General features: G+C 36.7%; 1 protein-coding gene across 1 annotated transcript in view; it reads right to left on the bottom strand.

The window, feature by feature from the left end:
- The window catches only part of USH2A (usherin), an 800,558-nt gene that overhangs the window by 140,669 nt on the left and 634,355 nt on the right, over window positions 1–25,534 (bottom strand). Inside the window, exons 52-56 of the mRNA NM_206933.4 lie at window positions 23,111–23,315; window positions 19,179–19,376; window positions 18,483–18,637; window positions 16,284–16,482; window positions 3,122–3,229 (exon numbers count right to left, since the gene is read on the bottom strand). Of these exons, the coding sequence (NP_996816.3) occupies window positions 3,122–3,229; window positions 16,284–16,482; window positions 18,483–18,637; window positions 19,179–19,376; window positions 23,111–23,315 (865 nt within the window). The remainder of the gene's footprint in view (window positions 1–3,121; window positions 3,230–16,283; window positions 16,483–18,482; window positions 18,638–19,178; window positions 19,377–23,110; window positions 23,316–25,534) is intronic.

A 25,534-nucleotide genomic window follows, 5' to 3' on the forward strand; every position in this document is an offset into this window, starting at 1 on the left:
GGGGAAGATGGAAAGCCTTGAAAAATTGATGGAAGTTAAAACTTGAGGGGTCCATGTTGCTTTGCTAAGGAGATATGGATGTATGTCTTCCTGGAAGGAAATGGGACTTTATGGAGGTGAATAATATGACATATTCTTATTTTGTCAAAAGAGGAAAAAGAATCAGGATGTGGGATGTGAGAAAGAGGAAAAATGACTAGAGGAAGGGATCCTAGTTAGGAGGATCCAGAGAACTTCTCTTCTTATAGCTATGAGGATCTGAACTAAGGCAGTGTTAAAAGGGACGGGAAAGAAGAACAATTTTTTTAAAAAAAATTCTTAAGATTTAAAACTAATTAGATTTTATAAAAAATTATGTATTACATATGGAAAAGGGAGCCATCAAGAGTGTCAAGCTTTGGGCTTAGGTGATAGGTAGGTGGTAGTATTTGAGAGAAGAAAAGCAAGTTGAGGAGTAGAGTGGAGTGGAAGAATTAAGTGGCGAAGTACTGAGGTTAAAGTTTTTGAAAAACACCTAAATATAAACATGTAGTAGACCAGTAAATACATAGGATTTAAATCCATAAGTGTAGCTTTGGTGAGAGCTTTAGTATTTGGTAGCTCTCAGCCTTCATTAGGAGATAAAGCCAGTACTCGAAAATTCCAGAAGAGCCTGGGTGCTATAGTGTAAAGAGTAGAGGAAAAAACCAAGGGTGTGTAAACGTTAAAAGAAGGGCAGAGGAAGAGGAATCTGGAATGAACTGAAAAAGACTGGGTCTTCTTTTCCTTTCTGTTTCCACATTATCAATGCTAGAGGAAAGTATGTCTGCAATTTTGCATGATTTATCTCTAAAATGAATTAGAACTCACATGGATGGCAGTAATTGTAGAAAAAAAGAGTAATAATTCAATTCAAAATCTTCCTGTTATTTGACTAAAGGTACAGGTACACAGTTTTCTATGAGGATAAAACTGTAGAGAACTGTGTCCAACTTGTCAATGAGGTTGTAATGTACATTGACTTTTTCTTAGATTGAAAATGAGAGGCAAGTGAAAAGAGCTCAGCTTGCGTTGGCTATGCATAAACACTTCTTTTAATTCTTTCCATGTCCACTTAAAATACTCAAATATGAGATCTTCAAATTATATCTGATGTACTTCGAAAATGGCATTTTATAATTAGTTATGTCTGGGTGGATAATCTAAAGTGGTATACTTGTTTTCACTTTACAGTAAAACAACAGAACTTAATGTGATTGCTAAGGTGTTCCCAAGTTAAGCATTCACACTATATTTATTTCATATATGGGTTATATATAAATGGCACTTATTCAGCCAGAAAATGGCCCTAAATCCATGTTTCTTCTGCAGAGGAAAGTCCATTTCATCTATTATTTCTTTGCATGATTATTTGTGTTAGAGGAAAGATACATAAAGTTAAAAAAAAAAAAGAAATCAAGGGCATTTCTCATATCACATTACCCTGCACTGTTGAAAGCTACAATTTTTAAGTCATAAAATGTAAGTCATTTCAAGAAATTTTGTTGGGAAAATTTCATATTTCCAATGAATTTAAATATATGAATTTGGTAGAGAGAAATGGAACAAGAGATTCTGTTATTTTATCAGGTTGAGTTTCAGCCAAATCTGGTTGATAGATCCTTTAGAAATTATCCATTATCATCAAAGTATCCATTTGATAGTTTACCTTTCCAAAAAATCCACTGCTGGTTTCTTCCTTTCAAAGGAACACTAAGCTTTTTGACATGAAACATTCTTTATATAGAAAACATCATTAGTGAATTCCTGGTGAGGAGCCATATGCCCCATATGTGGAATTTTCCATTTTATTCCCCATTTACTGGTAGGAAGTTCAGGTCTAATATTCCGAGGTACAACAATCCATTTCATTAGAAGAGTAATGGACAAGTAGTTCAGGAGTCTATGGTGGTAATTAACATTGCATTTCTGTTTAGAAACTTATTTATGCCTTGGTTTCCCCATATGAAAAATAGGCAGATAATGAAGATTAACAAAATAATTAGTTGATCACTAACACATGCCACTGAGTATATTTTTCTTTTGAAAGTAAATGACACCAGCCATCCCACCTCTGAACACATGGGTAACCATTGCTATCAGTTGGTGTGTATACTTCCTGGATTTTTAAATGCATTTATTTATTAACCATTAACAATAAATGCCATTTTCTCAGTTTGTTCTTATAAATTAATATAATGTCATAACTTCCTCTTTGTATGAACTGATCATCTCATTCTTTTATACTGGTGCATGGAATTCCACAATATGAGAATAGCTGAATTTATTTAGCAATTCTACTCACAAACATTAAAATTGCTCCCAACATTTTGCTATTAAACAAAATAAATGCTTCAATAAACATCCTGGTGCATGCCTCCTTGAGCAGTGTGGCACAGTTTCTGGCATAAATGATGAAAATAGAACAGCTGTATCATGGGAAATTAACAATTTAAATGTGATAGACATTTGCAATTTGCCTTCTAAGGTGATGATTCCATCTTACATTCCTTCCAACTGTGTCTGGTTGTACATCTCTGTACATCACTGTTCATTTGTCAAAATCCTTGTTTGTTGTGGTCCATCTCAGAAGTCATCTGCTCCATAAAGCCTTTTTTGATGTCATCGATGGGTTTCTATCTCTTCCTCTTCAGGCCAACCTTAGCACTCTATTCATTTGTTCTTTCTTAACATCAACTTTCAGATTTTCTCTCTTCATACAGATCTTTCTCCTATCACTTCTACTTGATTGTCAGTCTTGAGGGCAGAGAACATTTTAAACAACTTCAGCAGTGAGCATGGTGCTTATTATATATTAGATGCTCCCAAAATATTTAACATCTGAGTTTTTGAAAAATTTCAATAATTCTTCTTTCCACAGAAAATCAACTCTATAAAGGTTAAAGAATTGAAAGCGAACTGACCTTGGGAAGCTACACCTACATGAATCAAGCCTGAAGAATGGGAACCTAGAATGCTATTTTATTTTGTACCTATCAACTTTATTGCCTCTTCCTTATTTGTTATGAAGGAGTTTACAGATTCCACCTCAAAATGCTATGTGAAAATTTCTTCCCTCAAACCATGGATATTGTTTCATTACCTTCAGGAGCTGCCTGCAGTGTCTGACCTAGAAAAGGCTCGCTTGAAGTGCACCCAGCAGATGTACAAGCTGTAAGAGTGAAGCTGTAGTTGGTGTATGGCTGGAGACCTAGAAAAAGCAAGCAAGAAATAAAGTGCACCTTAAGAGGATTATTTATTATCAATTAAGTACCAGAAGTAACATGCAGAGTTGTAGATATGATAGCCAAAACATTTAAGAGTACTCTCTAAAACACTCTTTAAAGAAGGTCTGAACCTCATAAGAGGCTAAGTATTGGGCAAAATTTCATTTATCACTGATAAACTAATAAATTCTCAGCCATAGAAAAGACCTTAAAATTCATGTGAACCATCCACCCTTCTCTTGATTCCCTATACAAGATGTCATTGAAAAGGCTGTCCTGCCTATCGGATCAGAGCACTCCGTCTCTCAAAGAGCCCATTACATCTTTAGAGAGCCTTAGAGTTATCCTTATTTTGTTTGAAAGTCCTTCCTTATATTGTGATGAAATCTTTCTATCACTTTCACCCCTGGGGACATATAGAACAAATCTAATTTCTTTTCCACATGACAGCTCTTCAAATGTTTGTAGACAGTTATCAAATCCCCCCTGAGTCTTCTCTTCTCCAGGCTAACCATCCCAGTCTCTGCAATTGCTTCTTATATAAATACGGGCAGGAAAATAAAAAGAAGGTTAGATCCAACATTTTCTTGCCCCAAGCCATATTCAACTCATATTAACGCTAACCAACACTTTTGTTTTTAAACCTTGCACTGTATCTAATGCGCCCTTTTTTGAGGTGTGTTGATTTTGTCTTTACACATAGATTAAAGCTAATTTGGAGAAGAGATGGTGCTTATTACTTCTTTCGTATTCAGAATATGATGCAGTATGGTAATTGTTCAGTAAGTTTTCAGGGAGAAAAGAATGACAATCCATCTAAAATAGAAGTTGTATATTGTTAGATTTCGCTGCTCTGTGCGTGGCTGGTGACCTTGTTAGAGTTACTTAGCTTCTCTTTGCCTTGGTCTACTGATCTGTAAAATGGGGAATCATTATAGCATCTAGCAGACAAGAGAAGATGAAATAGGATACTCAAAGTAGTATTTCATTCTAGCAGAAGCAACTTTAAAGCTCAGCAGCATTCAACAAGGAGGATATTGAGGCTTACAAGACATCTCTCTCTTGACTCTTGGGAAAGTTCAAACAATGCCAAAGCTCTCTTTGAGAAAAAAATAGTATTTTAAAACAACAGGACTGAGCCTATTTGTTAAATAATTGAACTAAGTTACAGATGAATCCAATGATTGTTATGCTTATTTTTTCACGTATTTTGAGCTACATTTTCGCATATTTTGTTCTTTTGGTGGAATGACTGTTCCTTCAGAGATGTTAATGTGTCACTTTGTCTATTTATGCAGATTTCTCCTCAAATACTACATTTTAAAAAATTTTGACCACTTTATCTAAACAATCCACCCATCCCTTTTTATCCCCTCACATAATTTTCTTATTTCAGAGCCTTCAACCGTCTCTGATGTTTGCTGTGTCTCTTGCTTATTTGATATTTGTCTCCTGCTTTAGATGTATGCTCTGAAAGAACAACAACTTTGTTTTGCCTATCTGTATCCTTAGGATTGTGACAGGCACAAAGTGTGTGTTCGTTAAACGAATGAAAAAATTACCCATCTCATCCATTTAGAATGAGAGCAGTAGTCTGGGTTCTCTGCTAAAGCAATAATGTTCTGCAGCTGGAGCTGCTCCAAGGTTTAGCTTCAGAGCCCTTTGTATTTTTTTTATCAACTTAGTGATAAGATGCAGGCACTTATTTGATTACAATCTTCCATTTGGTTGCTTTGGAGGATTTACATAATTTTGATATTTACCTGATTTACAGATGAAGAATATGACTAAAGATCTAAGCCGTACCCAAGCCACATATGTTTGATAAAAGCTCATCGGAAAATGCTATGATTACAAAATGTAAAGCTCAAAATAATGGAAGGGAACATTCAAGAATGAAACTCAGAGGTTGCAGTGGCAAACTCGTTTAGCTCGACAATGTCTCCCCTTCATTCTCTTTACCGACAAAAAGGGGTCTTGACCAGTGTGATACCATTTTACCTGAATATCTTATTTTCCCCATTTAGAATATAAGCCCTTTGAGAGTAGAAATGGCATCACTGAGCGAGTCTTTTTGGGAGGTCACTTTCCCCTATAGTGCCCATTTTTAGGCATTCAATGTTGAACAAATATTGCTTAAAGAAGAGCATGCCCATCATAGTGTCCCATAAGGATTGCAGGGATATGAGGCTACGATGTTTATCACCATGTGACCTGACCAAAAAGGTCCTTCCTCATAATTCCATCGGTATCCCTGTCCACAGCAATGATTTCATTGAGTTGGAGATATTTTTTAGTTGCAGAATATTAATAAAATAACAGAAACTAATATAATTTGTGGGCAATACACATATTCTAGATTTTTTCCTGAATGCCAGATGTAAATATGGTAGCTAAAAGTAAACAGATATTTAAATTTTTTTCTCGAATATTCTGAGCAAAACAATGGCCTCAGTTATCTTCCTCATTGTGGTCGTGGCTGGTCTGATTTCAGACATGCAGTGACTGTTAAATAAAATTTTAGGATGGGCATTAGGGAAAAAAGAAAATTCATAATCACAGAGGTTTGCTAAGGTTGATTAGAGGATTAAGCGTATTTGTAATGAGAATCGTAGCTGAAAGGAAAATTAATGTATATAAAAATATAAATTGTCATTTCTTGACAAAGCCTTTCTGCTGCAAGTTGAGTGGTCTCCATTTTACTTACAGCCTAGAATTTGAGAAGGCAGGTGTTTAGGCATGGTACAGCAGTAGAGCATCCAGCACCTTAAGGATTTTTGATAGAGGGAGGAAAGTGCATCAAAGGAGTTTGCTACAGGTGTTTACATTAGATGGGATAGGTTCACCTAGCAGGATATGGGGGTAGGGCTGGTGGAAGGAATTTGCTTCTCTTGAAGCTACTGGGGTACTAGAATCAAGGAGGAATGGCAGACTCAGCACTGAGCAGAAAACCTTCGTCAAGAAGTCAGAGGAGTTCAAACATATTATCAAATCAAGAGGAGTCAACATGGTGCACTGAGGAAAGGAGACAAAGATTGAAGAACCAGGAGGATGAGAGTGGGAGACATGTCTGCAAGTGAATATGGGGAGAATGACAGTTTTACTCTAATTCATTGGCACTTTATCCTCAAGAGCTGTGTCTGTCCCTGAAATGTAGCCATGCTGACCAGTTTAATGGACCATGTGGGCAAAGGGTAGTAATACTTAGGCTCATTTCAAATGATGTTTGCTAATGTGTGTCAAGCAACTTCACATCTGCCATATTTACCTTCCAGGGTCTGTTCCTGCTTTTTATAACAAAACTCACATTTTCCTTGGATAAGCCAGTCATTTGTCCACTATCAGGCTTTGTACTTTATTTAGCGTTGACTTCACCTGGACTGAGGAGTGCATAGATGACCCAAGCCTGAATACCAAGCTCTATGTTCTCCATCACATAAGAGCTAGAGCTAACAGTATTTAAGTTACTCAATGGCTGCCTTCCCTCTGAAGATTAAGCAGCATTTAGAAGACATAAAAATGGTAGAAACCATTGCAGCTGCTCTTTATTAAAATTAATATTATTTTAATTGGCAAGTCATAATTGTATACACTGTAGTTGCTCAAAACGAAAAAAAAAAGTTAAAAGAATGTAGTTCAAACACCAGCACAAAAACTATAAATTAAGAAAAAAAATACCCAACAGACAAAACTCAGGGTGTTTTTGTTTTTGTTGGTCTGTTTTTAATTCTCTTTTCATTGGACTCTATACATTATCTAAATATATTTTATGAGAATTGCAGTTATTTTCAAGGAAGTTAGTTATAAGATTATGTAAATGACATACTAGCAAAAGTTTATTGAGCATGTACTACTAGTTGGCCCTCTTCTGTGCACTTCATGGGTGTTAATATAATTAACGCCCACACTAACTTTCTGCTGTGCACGCTATTATTTGTTCATTATACAGATAAGGAAGCTAAGGCACAGAAAGTTGGAGGAAAGTACCTATGATCACAGACATAAGAAAGGGCCGGGACCGGTGGTACGGTGGCTCATGCCTCTAGTCCCAGCACTTTGGGAGGACGAGGCGGGTGGATCACTTGAGGTCAGGAGTTTGAGACCAACCTGGCCAACATAGTGAAACCCCGTCTCTACTAAAAAAAAAAAAAAAAAAAAAAAAACCTACAAAAATTAGCCAGGCGTGGTGGTGCATGCCTGTAGTCCCAGCTGTTTGGGAGGCTGATGCTGGAGAATTGCTTGAACCTGGGAGGCAGAGGTTGCAGTGAGCTGAGATCCTGCCACTATGCTCCAGCCTGGGTGACATAGTAGCTAGACTGCCTAAAAAAAAAAAGAAAGAAAGAAAAGGAAAGGGTGAGGCCAAGGTTGGAACTTGGGCAATTACACTGAGAAATGTGGCCCAGAGCAACTGGGTTAGGCTTCCCAGCCTTATAACAAAAACGATGACATAAATAGCTCAAAGCCCAGTCAAATTTCCAGTAATATAAAAAATTCGGCCGGGCGCAGTGGCTCACGCCTGTAATCCCAGCACTTTGGGAGGCCGAGGCGGGCGGATCACGAGGTCAGGAGATCGAGACCATCCCGGCTAAAACGGTGAAACCCCGTCTCTACTAAAAATACAAAAAATTAGCCGGGCGTAGTGGCGGGCGCCTGCAGTCCCAGCTACTTGGGAGGCTGAGGCAGGAGAATGGCGTGAACCCAGGAGGCGGAGCTTGCAGTGAGCCGAGATCCCGCCACTGCACTCCAGCCTGGGCGACAGAGCGAGACTCCGTCTCAAAAAAAAAAAAAAAAAAAAAAAAAAAAAAAAAAAAAAAAAAAAATTCAAGTGGGACTATATATTTAAATATTTTCATTTTGAATATTATTATGAGTCATGTAGTGAGATACTGAGTCATGTTCTGTGCTAAGAGAGCAGTCTGAAATTAGACTATTTGGGTTCTAATACTTATCTACTTACCAAGTACTAGACTACAAGGAAGTTTTCTGGCTTCTAGGTTCCTCAGTTTCTATATCTATAAACTGTAGGCATGATAGTAGAGACTGCTTAATAGGCCTACAGATTAATTTAAGGGAAGGCAATATCTAAATCCATAATTTAGAAAATTTAAAACCATATTCTATCTTTTAGTTTTTATATTTTTCATATTGTTAGAGGACTGGATTACTAATAGGCTTGGTTCAGATAATCTGTAAGAAAGCATCAACTACCATCAGGCATAGATGATTTACATGAACCTGATGACCTTTCATATATACGACTCTGTAAAACTCAATAAAATGAACACATTTCAACTGGAATTTGCTGTCATTTTAAGTAAGCCTCTATCGGTAGTCCTTAAAATGAGATATATATGACATACTAGCAACAGGCAATAAAAAGGGCACACCAATTGAAAACTACTCATGAATTGATCAGGATGAGAAGAGGGAAATAAAGAGATGTCTCAAAGGAACCATTCCAACTGTAACTTAATCCTGAAGTCGAAGAGTAGAAGGAGAAAAGAAAACATCATTCAAGTGCTCAGCATTGAATTAGAAGAGTAGGAAATAGCACTTGTAGAGTACAGAAAGGCAAACACATGGAGAAAAGCCAAGTATTTAACATTTCAGTATAGTGAAGATTACTGTGGCTGCAAATTACCTGAATTTCCCTACAGGGAATCATGTTCTTTTTTAAAGGAAAGAAGCATAATATAACCAAACTCATTACAATTACACTTCCAAGTAACATTACTTTGAAGAGTAAATGTGTGCTAAAAGGGACTGCAAAAAGTCTGCCTTTAGTTCATAAAAATATGATTTGGAAAACAAAACCCATGTCTATGAAAGTTAACATTTGATGTACTCTATAAAGAACAGCTTGCTTCCAATTTTTAATCTCTTGATAAATAGTCAAAAAAAGGCACTTTAGCCATTATAATTTCACATAGCAAGTGCTACTTCAAAACATTCAGCCAATTATTCTATAGTGTCATCTGCTATGTTCTAAAGAATTACCAAATAGTCCTAAAGGATGTGTAATTCAGTGAGTTCCTCCATCAGCATGTTTAGTGATTAGCTCAAGCACTGAGAGGCCTGAGTTACGTTAAAAAGTTTTTGTTTGGTGCTTATAAAGTATTGTGAATAACCATCCTGCGGGTAAGTCATCTGTCCTGGCACCAGTTCACCCAAACTGGATGTGTGGTCTGGCCCCTCGGCTGCTCACATTCAGTCCTTGCTAATGATACAGGAGTTAAGAAGAAATCACTTAGGCAGATAGTAAAGGTATGGGAGTCCTCGGTAAGCCTTTTCTTTTTAGTAAAAAGCCCCAAATAATTTTCTAACAAAGGGCAAGCATGTAAAATCGAGCTGCAGACATAGGTAAACAAGCTGGGTGCTTGCATGGGTGAATGTGGGCAGGAACTAAGGACTGTACATGTTCAAGATGGAGGCTCCATCTTCCCTTCTCCTTGTCAGCCACTTGTACTGTAAGGCTCAGACAAGATGGAACCAATCAACTGGAAGGCCCATTTGCATAATAAGATTAGGGTGGGGTGACCAGCCTTCCCCTCCCACTATGTAAATGTCATACTTGATCGAACCAATCTGTGAGCCCTATATAAATCAGACACTGCCTTCTCCAGCCTGCCTGTAAAATCTGCTTTGGTCCGCTGCCTCCCCACTTTACGGATGTCTCTCTGTCTCTCTGTCTCTCTCTCTCTCTCTCTGTCTCTCTCTCTCTCTCTCTCTGTCTTTCTCTCTCTCTCTCACAAGGAGCTGCTCTCCTCTCTCCTTTCTTCTATTAAACTTTCCACTCCTTAACACACCCACATGTGTCTGTGTCCTGAATTCTTTCTTGGCGCAAGACAACGAGCCCCAGAGTATATACCCAGACAACTATAATGATGTTGCTTCCTTTTGCCCTCACTTGCCTGGGATCTCACTAAGTGATCCCTTTCGGAGCATCTCTGCCTACTGAGATTCCCAGGAACTTCCAGCATCCCCTGGTGATCTTGACTGTGATGGATAGAGCCATATCAGCATTCTACTTAGATCAATCTGACAATCTGTGAAAATCCAGATGTTCAAAACTGGTATACAAAGGCATCATGGAATTACTTTACAGACATCTAAGGTACCTTTAAATTAGAATTTGTTTTACAGGATTTGATTAAGGATTATTTCGGGAGTTCACATGCTAAAGCCATCTTTTCTGGATGGTATCATTCTTCACAATCTCAACAGCTGCCCATTCCACTTACCCAAGCCAATTTCCTCCCCCCCATTGAGCAGCATTTGTACTGTCCATTTTCTGTATTCATGCTTTATGAATTCAGTTGCTACCTCATATGAACTGAACATCAAAACATCAAAACAAAGGGACTCTTGCATTGCACATGCCAGTAAGATCACTTCATGACTTTTAGTTCTGACTACTTGCTATAAGCTAACTTGCGTTATTAATTCTATATTTCATTTGAAATTCTGGGCCATAGCTTAGGCCCCTCTCTCCAATATCTTCCTGATCCCAAGACGCCTTTCCTAAACAAGTTACTTCTTTGGCAGACTCTCTTTAGATATACATCAGCATTAAGACTATTATTTAGACACCACCAAGGAAAGACCCTTTTTCTTTGGTGGTGTCTAAATAATAGTCTTAATGTTGATGTATATCTGGAATAAATATAACAACAAAAATATAATATGAATTATATCTGTGATATATATATTTTGATTTTAGTGACAGTATTTTAATAAATATTTTAATAAATACTTTTCCTCTTTCAAGTTCAGTGTTATGCTAGACTGAGGATTCTTCTCTGCATTTCCAGGCAGACTTTTCTTCTCTAAAAACAAAATGTGATGTCAGGTGGCAGCAAAATCTGATGTTGCTCAAACGTGAGACAATGAGGACATTGCAGAGGGAAGGGGGTGGCCAGAACTGGAGTGACAAAACAGAACTAGTATCTGGCAAAGTACATTGGAATATCTGGGATTTAAGGGGAATTTTAAAAAATATCATTGTCTAGGCAGCTATCAATTATAGTTCTTTGGCCTTAATATTTTATCAATAGGCAGGTTTTAAAACACAAAAAAGTGGTTGATGCCACACTTTTTTTTTTCTTTTTTTTTTTTACTTTTTTGGTCAGGCACAAATTTAGTTGTTCTCAGAGTTGAAAAAATGAAAAGAAAACAAATTCTTATCTCTATTTTCACAGGTCCCCAGTGCTTGGTGGTCAGTAATTACATAGTAACTGGGGGGAATGCAGCCTGGAGCATTGCAAACAACCATAGAAGAAACTCCCAAAGCTTTTTGAGGACATTATCACCATCCTAGTTTTCTTGCTATCTGTTTTAATTAAAGAAATATACTGCAGCTAATTCCAGACTGCTGGAGATCAGGGTTGGCTTTGTGGGCTTCGACTGTGCAATCAAACACGGTACCATGCTTGGAAGCACATGAGCTTACTTCTATGCTCTGCTTCCATTGTCTTGAAATTTTAATGATTTCTGAACAAGGGGCCTGAATTTTCATTTCGCACTGGACCCCACAATTTTGTTGCCAGATCTGTCTGCGATTTAGATACGTTTGACAGTGGCATTTTTATCTCCATTCAAAACAGAATGTAGTCAAATACTAGTTTACTATTCAGTATTTATTCATTCGACAAACATTTTTTGAATATATTAAGTACTGTGATAGGTACCAGGAACACAATGGCAAACAGGAAGCTACTGTCTCTGTACTTAAAAAGCATTACCTATTACTAAGTGTGGAACAGAGACAAGAGGAAAGGCTATTAGAATAAAATGTGATAATTACTACGAGAGCAAAGATAATATGGGAACACATAGCAGAGTTATCTAAAAATAAAATCCCTTACAAAGAATTTCTACATTTTGTTGTATTGGTGGTTAAAGTATGTTTTCTCTTTTTCCAAGGTGAAGTGTAAGGTATCTGTTTCAGTATAACATTAGTATTACATTTTCTGCTACAACCAGCATTGTTAGGGTTTGTTCTATTTAGCACACAAAGTTTTCATTAACTTCTAGGAAGATGAGAAACGAAAGTAAATTATTCTTTCCTTGCTAATTTAATGCTGGTGAGTTTTTCCTTTTAAATGAAATGCAATGATGAGTAATTTCTAATTAATTATTTTGAAAATAGTTTTCCAGAGTAAGAGACACATAGGCCCTTATTATACGTTATGCTAAACAGGACATGACTAATTCATTTTTTTCTCAGTGGCCTTAATTATTTAGTTAATCCTTTCTTCTATTCCTAAACTCACATTAGGAGGCCTACGTATAATGTAGAGGTAGCCCAAAGTGAAACAATGCCATAACTGATGTCCAAATTGTTCTGTACAGGATGGTGGATGTGTTTAGTAATAAATGATATGAAAAGGTCTTTTATTGACAAGCTGCCATGCGCTGTTTGCATTAGCGAATATGAGAAGATGATGGCTGCTACTCCTTCGTCCCCATGGTATTCAGCTCAGTGAGATAGCAGAAAACGCTTCAGTTTACTTAAAGCATTGATAACACCTCTAAATAATTAACCGAGGACTTCCTGTCTTCAATTACTTAATGCTTTTTTTAACATCTTGAGAGGATTATAAGCAATTTATGGATTTCACATGATGAGTGCATTCGCCACTATTCCCACAAAGCATTTACGGGATCATGTTTCTAAAGCTTTGAGGTAATTAAAAATAAGCATGGAGACAATGGGGCCGAGGCAAGGTGCTCCCTTTCCCTCCTGTCATTCCTAAGGACCTAGATTTTCAGGCTCCAGGACGACTAGTGCTACAGCTTTATTAGTGCTGTGTTGCTTAGGGAATGCCAAGCTTTTGGAAATGATGAGAAAATCAAAACATTTATCCTAGGGGGTTCAGGCAGCATTTCCATCAAACATTTAAGATGGAACAGAAAATAAATTTGATTATTTTAGTTCATTCCATGAACTCAATAAAACAGTCATTCACACCATAAAATACTTCAGTACTACATTTGGTCAGTCAGCTAACCGTGGAACTGAATTTTCCTGGGCAAATGAGTAACATTATATAGATCTCAAGTTTCCGATTATCTAATGCCTAGCACCATTCCTGTCCCCAAAGAACTACATATAGGAGGCTCTGTACTTGGTAAGGTTTTGCTGAATGAGGACTTATTTCTTTATTCTACAAAGAAACCCCTCTTTAGGGCTGTATTGGGCAAGTGAAATACTCTCTAAATCTATTTAAAACAATATCCATAGAAATTAAAACAAATCAAAAGTAGAACAGGGAGATTGGTCAAAGGACTCCTAAAGGCTTTTACCAGATTATGATTTTTTACTGTTAAGTAAAAATTAAAATTATATTAAAAAACCTTAAAATATTTATGCTAATAATAGGATTTCTGGCACCAAGATACATGTATGAAATCTACTCTGACATAAAAATAGCCATTAAAAATGTCAATGAAAGGAAGAACTGGTAGGGTGAAGTTATTTAGAGAAAAATCTTTGCAATTATTTTATAATTAATGAGGCTATCAATCCTGTTGGTTTGAACATTACAATTGAATTTGGTCTGTTGGTGTATAAATGCTGATTTCTAAAAAATGCAAACCAATAAAGTAGCAACAATTCGAAGCTGATGCTGGTTAAGTTGATAGATACTACAAGAAGAAATTTCTTTAGCCTTATATCACAATTATTGTGAAACCTTTGCTGGTACAGTCTTAATGTGCCTAAACTTGCTTTTCAAAACCCTGTAATTAACATCCCATTGCTTACTCCAAGTGACTCATTTGATTTTTCACCACTGCATCCTGTATAGAGCTCTGTTTTCAGTTATTTCTTTTCTTGTCAGTCTTCCCTGTACGTGAGAGGATCTTAAGAGCAGCAGTCTTATTTTAGACCACTTAGTGTACTATCTGGAAAACTGCAAGCTGGCAATTCATTTTTGGGAGAACGAAATGATATTCTGATTTCCTTTCAGATACAGGCAGTGAATGCCTTGGATACGCTGAGTAGGTTGGCTTTCTTCTTCATCTTTCAGATATGATTATTAAAAACATCTCTTACAAGGATGTGATGAGAGTCAGAGAAGTCAAAATGCAAACGTTTCTTTAAATGATAAAGCACCACATAGAAGTAAGGTTTTATTATGTAAAACACCATTATTTCAATCACTTGTGATGATTTCCACTTCAAGTAAAATAAGATAAAAGAAATAATTTTGATCATTCAAATATGAGGGCTTCTCCCAACCCCATTATCTTTTTTTTTTTTTTGAGACAGAGTCTCGTTCTGTTGCCCAGGCTGGAGTGCACTGGTGTAATCTCAGCTCACTGCAACCTCTGCCGCCCAGGTTGGAGTGATTCCCCTACCTCAGCCTCCAGAGTAGCTGGGATTACAGATGCACACCACCATGCCCAACTGATTTTTGTATTTTTAGTAGAGACGAGGTTTTGCCATGTTGGCCAGGCTGGTCTCGAACTCCTGACCTCAGGTGATCCGGCTGCCTCGGCGTCCCAAAGTGCTGAGATTACAGGCATGAGCCACCGCACCCAGCCTCAACACTATCATCATTGATTTAGCCCAGGATCTTGAGGTAAGGAATACAATGTGCCAGGCCAAGAGTTGTATTAAGCACCTTCTGCAGGTTTACGGCCCTTTTGGAAAAATACTGGAGATTTTGTCAATGAATGCTTGCTTATGTGTTAGGGAATTGTGGCATTTAAGAGTGAAAAGTGATGAATTTATTTTGCCACCCTGTGTAAGTGTAACCTGTGTCCCTTCTTAGGAAAAATCAGTCACATTTTTCCAAGGCCTTTCTGCACTTTTCTGTGAGTTTCATTATCTGTGCTATCAACACCCCCTGCAAAAAGTGCAGTCCAATGGAAGGAGGTCATCCACTCAGGAAGTCTTGGAAGGAGGTGGCTGACAATGGGAAAAAAGGGAAAGTTTATACAATCTTGCCCATGGTCTTAGAATTTAAACTTAACAGGGTTGTTTGGGATGATTCAGTAGACTCGAATAATGAACTAAATTACTTAACTTCTCAAAGTATTCTTTTCTGTAAAATGAAGGTAGTAATTCACTGTACATCTTAGGTTGGTGATGGAGAATCAAATTGCATAGTGCACTCAAAGTGCTTAGGACAGCGTCTGGCACATATTAAGTTCCCTTCTTCCCCAAACGTTTATTTAGCTCCTATTAATGTGTTCAGGACTATAAGTGCTAGAGGTACAACACTGAACAAGTAGATAAGGTTCCTGCTCTCTTGGAGCCTACATTCAAGTGTGGAGAGACATAAAAAGACAAAAAACAAACACTAAAATATCAGGCAGTGAGAGGTCTATGATGGAAATAAAACAAAGTGATGTGGTGGTGTGTTAGAGAACCTATTCGAGCAAGTAAGTCAGAAAATGCTTCTCCTCCCTTCAGAAGTGGCATTTAAGCTAAAACCTGTTAATTATTATCATAATCACTACTAGCAATTATCTAACATATCATTGTACTGTACTAATAGTATATTATTAAGGCTAATGATAATAAACATTATAATAAATTAAAAAAACACAATTGCTATTAATTAACATTCCTAATAGTAACAAACAGTCACAATGACTCCACTGTCAACTAGTCCTGTGTATTAATTATCCACTTGATAGACAAATGTTAACCTCTGGCTGATTTTCCCCTGCCTTCCAGTATATTCTTGGCTATCTTAGTCCCATTAACTATGAGTATATCCTTGGGGAATGAAAATGCATCTTACTGTTTGTTTGAAAAAAAAAGTTAATACTGATGCAAAAACCCTTCACATAATGCATATCAAGGCCAAATATAAATTATTTCTGAAGTTATCTGCTGTTGTGGCGTATTGCTGCCAGTGTGGGCTCTTCTATTAGCATGGATAAGTGGGACCTGACCATATGTCAAGAGAACACGTCCTTTCGAAGTGACCTCATATATCAAACACACACCCCTGGGATGCTTTGCCCCCCTAACCACAATGACAGACTCCTCCAGTAGGATTTCCTTTTTTTTTGTTTTCTCACCTGTGACCGTATGCTGTCTCCTGTCAGTGGTGTCAGTGTGGATGAGACCTTTCCCAACCTGCCTGATCTGGTACTCTTTAATGACGCCGTTTGATTTCTCAGGGACACTCCAGCTCAGATGCAGAGCCACTGCACTTAGGGCTGTGATGCTTGGTGGCAGGATGCTCTCCGGAACTCCTTGGGTAGTAGCTGCAACTACCTGAAGACGTAGGAATTAAGCAGCAATTTATTGTAATAGTGCACTAGCTATCCTGATCAATGAGAATGTCACTTTTGTTTTAAAATGTTGTCTGGCCTGGCATATCATTAGCAGGGGCTTGGAGAAGCATTTCCCTTTTTTTTCATTTTTTTCCCTCCCAACCTATTTAAACAATGAAATCTGACCTTGAATATATTACATAAGTCTCACACTACCATTTATCACAACAGGTTCAACAACAATTTTGACGGCAGAGTGCAGCCCTCAGTGTTTAAACAAGTAAAATCTGGCTGGCAGACTGTCTTACTAGAGAACTCTTGATAACTCTCTTCCATATGGCCCATCAGTGTCTTTGCATTTTAACAGCCTGATTTCATACATTTTAAGCACCAGTAAATATGGAGCAAAAGCCACATCTGAACTTGCTTGCATACAATATGCTTTGAACAGAATAAATGGGCAGACATTTCGGTACTCTTCCCATGATACCTAGGATGACTTTATAGTGTCTGCACCAACTTTCTAAAGAAAGAAACAAGTCAGAAGAAAAAAATAAATCAATTACTTAGTCAATATTGTCAAAACATAGTTTTGGACAAAAATTGGCTTCTTTCATAGAATTAACTTTTTTCACTTTGTAAACAATTGCTTTGCATGTAGCAGGCATGAAGTGTGCCTATGCAAAAAGCATGGAATTGTTCTAGGACTAATAACTTTTGACTGGGCCAATCAGCTGCCATCTATCTATCTAAATGGTGGCTCACTCAGAAAGGTTTCCAGAAGTCTGTTGAACAAAATGTTGCATTCTTGCACTGTGGCTGAGCAGTGTGGCTGAATGTTTCATTTGGATGGCTCTTGCACAGTGTGCAAAGATGTTGCTCTTCTAAAGTTTTAAGCATATGAAAAGAATCAGAGCTACTCTGTGTAAGTTTGTTTCCTCCTGGGCTTCCTCTGTCAAGGCTGGCTTCTATGAAATGTCCCTTTCTTTATTTTACTCCCACATTGTTTGATTGTTTATTTCCAGTCTTCTTTGTGGGCTTTTCTTTCTTTTTCATTTGGTAGCATTCCCCAGTGCTCATCATCCACAATATTCCATATTTGTTTCTCTCTATTCTCCTTCCATGTCCATATTTATACTCATTACTTCAACTTCCCATACAGATCTTTCTAGAAACTTCAGTCACCTCTCAATCTGGTTTCTGACCAGATATTTTCACATAAAGTGCCAAGTACTATCTGCTTCCGCCACCCTGCTATCTGATCCTTCTCTTTAAATATATTTTTTACAAAACTTAACAAAACAGAATCCTATTCTTTTACCTTCAACATTTTTCTCTTTTTTAAAAATTTGCTTGCAGAATAGCACCATGATCCACAAATTACTCAAGCAGATATTTGACAATATCCGTGACTCTTTCCTTTTATTTCTGTAAATATAATTGAGTACCAAGTTTTGTAGATTTTATCCCCCATGTCTGTTGTATCATTCTGTATTCTCGGTTCTGACCTCTGCTGCCTAAATTCAGGTCTTCATTATTTCTTGACAAGGCTATAGCAGAAGGCTTGGAACAATTTTGTTTTCCGTGCCAGGCTTTTTTGCCCTTCTCTTCATTTTTTAAAATCAGACAATTTTTGTTCATATCATATTTAAATAGAAACTTTCTTTAACTGAATAATGATTTGGACATTTTTATAGATTTATAGATTACCTAAAATTGGTTGGTGAGGAAAGAATGTGGAAGAAAAGATGGTACTGCTTCAAGATTTCACTTGTTTTTCATTAACACAAGATTGATATTTGGATAAATCTCCCTTGAAATGATCTCTCCTTCCAGCCATAGGTATTAGCACTCAGTTAACGTGACACATGAACACGCTACTTAACACCACTTTGAGGAGGGACATTGTTTTCTTCAATGAAAAAAGCAGTCACAACCTGGATGTTCAGATAATCTTCACACTGAACCCCTTTTCCCAGAGTTTAGGCAAACTCCTCTTACCTTGCTACTGGTGGCACAGCCAGCAACCGTGCAAGCTTTCAGCTGATATGAATATTCCTGAAATGGTTGAATTCCCTCTTTATCAGAGAAGCTCAGTGATGTTCCCCGAAAACGTTCAATTCCATTTCGAAGAAGGATGTAGTAAATAATAGGACCTAAAAGAAGCAGAAAAATGACTGCATTTGAATGTGATATCATTTTAACTATTTGCAAACAACTTACAAATCTTAGTGTTCGGAAGAAATGCAATACTATAGCTTTATTTAATTTTAATTTCCTATTATATTGCTGTCTCAAGCAGTTCCTAATTATACTATTATGGAGGAGATGGATTCTTGACATAAATGATAAGAGTCATTTATGTTTATTTCCTTTCACTATGAAACAAATTTACTTTCAATATTAAAACTCTTTCCCCTTCTCTGAATATGCCTTGCTTGTTTTGAAAGCAGCTCAGATATATTCTGGGATTCAAGGAACTTTCATTTCTATTTTTTTACTTATTTAGGCTAAAAATCTACGAGGACTACACCACAAAGTGAGTGATTAGTTGTCACATAATTACAGTTCCCTTTATCGGAACATACTTTTCTAGTGGTTAGATGCATAGGGCAATTAAATGTAGATTGTACTCATTTCAATTTTCTTATGAATTTATGGGATTTTGTTATTTGTATTTTAAAGGTATCTCAATACCATTTGATTGTATAGGTTTTCTCCAGTTTAAGACAATTGTATCTTCAAGATTGTCTATTTTGGTCCACGTAGGGGGACTCACTCCTTGAGGCACATCTTCTTTTGTTCTGGCTCTCACAGCTTTGCTGAGTCCTCGCCCATAGCTGTTCCAGGCAGAAATCCTGTACTCATATGTCATGTAGGGCTTGAGGTTCACATCTGGAAAGAGAAAAAATAGACAGGGAAGTTTCTCTTATTTTCATTTTTTAACCATCATATTAAAAGTGAATATCAAAAACTTTAGACATTTAAAAATAAATGTTTAATGCTCTAAACGCTTTGTATATAAATAAAACTCTAATATCTTTATTTTCTAAATATAAGTAACATTTAAAGTATTTATTAGATGCAGGGATACGGAATTGCACAGAATAGAATTCCCTGTTTCTGAGCAGAGAAAGAGGGATATATTAAATAAATGAAAAATAAAAGCACTGGAATCATGTATAATAAGATTTAGTGCTTCACAAATTCATGTAGTTTTGATTCCTACATGAGACAGGTTTGGCAACATTCTTTTATAGTTTTAGTATCATAGAACTTATAAATTATTGCTTTCTGTTACTTTGTTAATATTACTTAAAAAATTTTAAATCATATGGATTATAATGTTGTTACAATATACAGGATTTGAAACTTAGTTTATCATGGTACCATGTTAGTGAATAAAAATGAAAGCATACTCTGCTATCTAGTTCCTTCCCTCTTCCACAAAAGCCAGAACTGAAAACCAAAATACAAACCAACCAACTTTATTAAAACAATAAAACCAAGCCTGCTGAGCTTTCCAAACTGGCAAAAATTGTATTAGATGAACACTCATGTGATTCAGTTGTGTCCCCAAAGTCTTAGTTCCATTTAGGCTTTAATAACTTCGGAAATACCAATGCTACACATTTCCCCTGAAAAACTTACTTGAAAGTTTAATTATTTAAATTTATTTTCCATGTCTCTAATTTGATGAATTTTAAGTAAGTATGTATGTATTTTTGTGTGTTAGCTTCTGGATGACTCTTTCTCAGATTGAGCATCAGAAAAGGAGGCCTTCCTCCTTGGCTGCCTGGCCACCTGCTCATCTCCATTGGACGTGGAGTTAATTCTCAGTCTCTATGCTTAGATTAATGGAGAGACATTCTCCTTATATACATCTCCTTACAATAAACCCTTCCCTGCCCACTGTATAGAACTAATATGAAAATACAATGCAATAAATTATGGGGCAGAACTTCATAAAATGCAGATTGCTCTACAAATGTAAAGCATTATCTTCCTTTTCCATTTTTTTCTGCTCGGGGGTATCTGCCACTTGTTGCCTGTGATGGCAACCATGAGTCCCCAGTTCTCCCTTCCATCCTGGTCAGAGGCCTCCTGCTTAGAAAACCACATTTGCCAGTTTTCTTTGTAGCTTCTAGTGGTCACATGACTCAGATCTCAATACTTGAAGGAGTATAGAAAGACACTGACAACTTCCACATCATTTTATAAAGAGAAAATTGCATACCTTCGGTTGCCATTCTGGATTCTGGATACCTGAATGACCTTGTGCGATTCAGTTGCCTAGACCATCTACCTACCCTCAGATGGTCAATATGTTTTACATTTCTGCTACAGCAAATTAAACTACTTATTGGTAATGACTGTTATTCTGTATCCTCAAGCCCACATTACCATTTCAAATCTCATTTGCTGCTTCCTTCTTTCTTCATATAGGGTTGAAATCTCAATGAAAAATTATTGTTTGTCATCATAGCTGCTAGTCCTAATGTAGTGACTAGTTATTAGTAGGTATTTAATAAATAATTTTTGATAAATAAATGATTGCATAAATGAATAAATTTTTGTCAGCACTGGTATTGTCAGCTTTCAAGTGTAAGTTTCTAAAAGAGTCTGACTTAATCTAAATTGTTCTCAATGGAATTATCATAGCACCACTTGTGTGCTGAACATCTTTCATGAAAAAGAACAGTTTGTTATTTTTCATATTCAATTTGTAGTATTTTCTGCAGGCAAAGCAATCTGAAATATGGATTTTAAAAGCCCTCATAACATTATATCAGTAGGTGGAAACATCTATTCACTTCTGGAGAGGGCTATTACAAGTATTTATTAAAAGCCCTTCAAAATCTTGATCTTGATTACAAGGGGCAGATAAAAGTAGAGAACTCTCTTAGATGGAAACTCAATAATTTAAAAATGAAAGTCCATGACTTAAATCTATAACTGGGACTGGGAACACAATAGAAGGTTGGACAAATTGTCCTCTATCTGAGGCCTTTCCTAATTAAATTCATTCCAAGAAATATTTTTTGTTTGTATAGTGTTCTAAATCCAAATAACGAGGCAAAGGTAAACAAAAATGCCCTATTCATAAGGATGTTTCAATCTAATAGAAGAGCTGGAACAAGTGTCCAAATCCATATGACACATGAGAGAGCTAGTGAGCTTTGTGAACAATGTGCCATAGCAGCACAGGGACTGCATTGAGGAAAAGAATCTTGACCTAGGCCTTGAGTAGGATGATAAAGGAGGACATTTCAGGTGGAATAACAGCTTGAAGTGCATTTGGAGCACTCTGAAAGGAGCTCCTGCACCACGTGGAGTCTTCAAAGTCTGTCCCTTTTGATGATGGCATTATTTGAATATGTTTCTTTCTCATGGCGAGTAACTTTTACAGATCTGACCCTCAGTTTCCTCATCTGTTAAATGACCATATTTATATGATTGCTTTGTTGGTAACTGAGATAAGGTTTTAAAGTACCTAGTGTAGAGATATACCTAATGTAAATGACAAGTTAATGGGTGCAGCACACCAACATGGCACATGTATACATGTAACAAACCTGCACGTTGTGCACATGTACCCTAGAACTTAAAGTATAATAAAAAAATTAAAGTACCTAGTATAACATTGAGACTAAATAATGTTCAATCAACCTTATCTCTGTTCCTTTCTTCCCTTCCTAATCTTCCTCCTCTTATCTTAGTAGCCTGCCTTACTTTCTGCACTCTTGAGGTTAGCCATTATTGCCCCTTGGTTGAGTAAAGCAGACTGATGATTCATGATGGAATGGAGCAATGTTTTGCTTGTTTATTAACCTTAGCTTGCTCAAATTATGTCACTTAAATGGATTCTATTGAATCAAGATGATAGATGATACACACACACACACACACACACACACACACACACACAAACTTGATTTTTCAAAAAACAAGAACACATTTTGTAGGGACTTAAGTAAATGGATGAATAACACAAATTTAATTGATGGCAGAACTGTTTTAGAGATAATTCTAAACTTAACAGTGTTTCTCACACAGCTCAGCCAAAACTAAGCATAACCATTTTGGACTAATTCAGCAGGGCCAAGATGGTACATAGAAATTAATATTTACAATAACTGCAAAGGTTATTCTTTTGGAGATGACCAGCCATCTTGGAGAAATGTCATGCTTGGGTTTACCTCATCCTCAGAGTAGCACTGTTAGGTTTTATTATTAATCAGACAGGTTCATCCTTCTTTCTGCTTAAGAGTATAGCAGTATTCATTCAATGCATTCAGTGGAAGCTGCATTGCAGCTTTTGAAAAAGGAAATTGGATTTATTGTAAATTAACTGGATATAGCAGTAAAGGTCACAGATATCTCCACAGATTTACCTTAATATGGAATACAACCTTGTTTAAATAGACTTTAACACATTTTAAAGTACTGACTTTGAATACATCCAGATTATGCCTTTAATTACCTTGTAACTAGCTGGCCTCAAAGTATGATGGAATGTACTGATATCAGTTTAAGGAGAGTTGATGTCAGAGTGAAATAAATCTGCATTTTCAGCAGCTTCTCACTAACCCCATTAAGCCATGGGCAGACAGCTTGCTTTCTGTTACCTGTGTAAGAGTACGTGTTTACACTCCCTGTATGAATGGTTTCTTCGGCAGATGAACACATTTCTTCAATTGATGCCTTCCCTGTGGAATTGTGAGACCCTCTTATCACAGTGCAAATGTGGCTGGTAAAGTTGAAGTCACACCTGCCACAATGTTCTGTGGCTTCCATAGATGCTGGGCAGAGGATCCTGCACTCTTTGGTTTCCTGAGTCAAGTGGCAGGGGTGAGAGAGAGAGGGGTATTTAAAAATTTCATTTAGACATACATAGGGTAGGCTTTTGTGACTTTCAAATGAAATTTTTCCTCCACTTACTTGATGAATGAATATTTCAAAATTTATAAAAAGAAATGAAGGCAGTTTGTATACTAGGAAGAACAATGACTTTGAAATGTCACAAATTGGGATTAAAATTTCAGTTTTGCAGCTTCCCAGCTCTGTAACCTTGAGCAAGTCACTTATGTTTTCAAAACCTCAGCTTCTTCAGTGGGGAACATGGAGACAAAATTTACTACCAAGGTTTGTTGTGTGACTCAAATCATATAATTTACCACCAAGGTTTGTTGTGTGACTCAAAACTGATAAGTCTTTAAACTTAGTATACACACTACAAATATTTTATTTTTGCTATTTGATACTTTCCTATGGAATTTTAGAGAAAATAAAGAATGTGATATTTGAGAATTTACACTTCCTGTGTTGTTGGGGAAGTTGGTCCCATTAGAAGTATTACTGATCCAAGTTTTTAAAAATATAAATGTTTCATGAACTGTCATTGTAATTATAATTATTTACGCTTATAAACATTTTCTCTGACACATCTCCAGATTTTTTATGGTTTTTGATAAGTACCACTTTGTTTTAATCCAAGGAAATTAAATACTTAATCATCCCACACTACAAGAGCTATAAGTAAGGTAATAGTTTTATAATGTGGAGATCTACTTTGCCTTTCCTTTACATAAGTAGCATAATGTATTTAGAATACTTTTTGCTATTAAAATTGATCTCCATTCAGCCTCTCTCTTACATAAAATAAGTTGAATTATTCTTACCAAGTTGATCAAAATAGTACATTCAAAAATATATAGTGGGTCTGGGCGCAGTGGCTCATGTCTATAATCCCAACACTTTGGGAGGCGGAGGTGGGTGGATCACTTGAGGTCAGGATTTCGAGACCAGACCGATCAACATGGCGAAACCCTGTCACTACTAAAAAAACAAAAATTAGCTGGGCTTGGTGGCGCACACCTGTAATCCCAGCTACTTGGCAGGTTGAGGGAGGAGAATCGCTTGAACCTAGCAGGTAGAGGTTGCAGTGAGCCAAGATGACACTACATAAATAGAATCCCACTATATATATATGTGTGTGTGTGTATGTGTGTGTATCTATCTATCTATATCTATCTATCTATCCTCTAAAAGCCCAACTAAATGACAGTAAAATACTGGTTTACGTGTTGAAAGTCTAAGAAAAAATGGAGAAAAATAATACACACAAGACAGTGCATACCTTTTTGGAAGCTGGAAAGTAGATGAATGTGGCAGAGACAATGCAATGTGCTCAGTGATGTCCATGTTTCCCTTTTCTCTCTGGGAACATGGGATGTTGAAACCTGGCTGCAGTAGGAGAAGCCACCTGACTAGATATGTCTGTGTGACTAGTGCATAGAAAGGATGTACTCTATATCCAGGTAGGAACTGTCTGTGTGCAATTGTCCCCTCTTGCGCCTTTTCCATTATGATCCAAGGGCTGCATGAAGCATCACAAGATGTAAGGGGCTTCGGTTCTAGAGATGTTACTTGGAAGACAACTGCCTAACTCATAATGAATTGTAATGTAAAAAAAAAATTGCTAAGAGAGTAGATCCTAAATGCTCTCATCACAAAAATGGAAAACAAAATGCAAAAAGAAACCATCCTAACTTCCACATAGAGGTTCATTGTCATGAAATTTTAGAGGAGCAGGATAAAGAGAACATCTTCAAGAGCTTTCATAGGAAAAGAAACATGGTTACCAACAGAGAGATAGGAATCAAAATATTAATGGAAGCTTAAAACATGCAGAAATGCCTCAAAATTCTGAGTAGACATAATTTTTAACCTGGAATTGTATATCAGACCAAACTATCAATCCTGTTGGAGGGTAAAATAATAGTATTTTTATACATTAAGCTTTTAAAAAATTTACCCTCCATACATCTATATACAAGAAGATAATTCTCCAAATGGAATGAAACTTGGAATCCAAAACAAAACAAAACAAAACAAAACAAAACAAAAAAACAGGGGAATCAACACAGGAAAGAGGTAAAAGGAATTCCTGAATTGATAGCTTAGGGAAGACCGAATGGGCCAGCTATGTAAAAATCCCATGGTGATCCATTCCAGACTGGAACAGGATATAAATGTCTCCAGGTGGTAGG

Source organism: Homo sapiens, chromosome 1, assembly GCF_000001405.40.
Source record: "Homo sapiens chromosome 1, GRCh38.p14 Primary Assembly".
In the NCBI taxonomy this organism is placed as follows: Eukaryota; Metazoa; Chordata; class Mammalia; order Primates; family Hominidae; genus Homo; species Homo sapiens.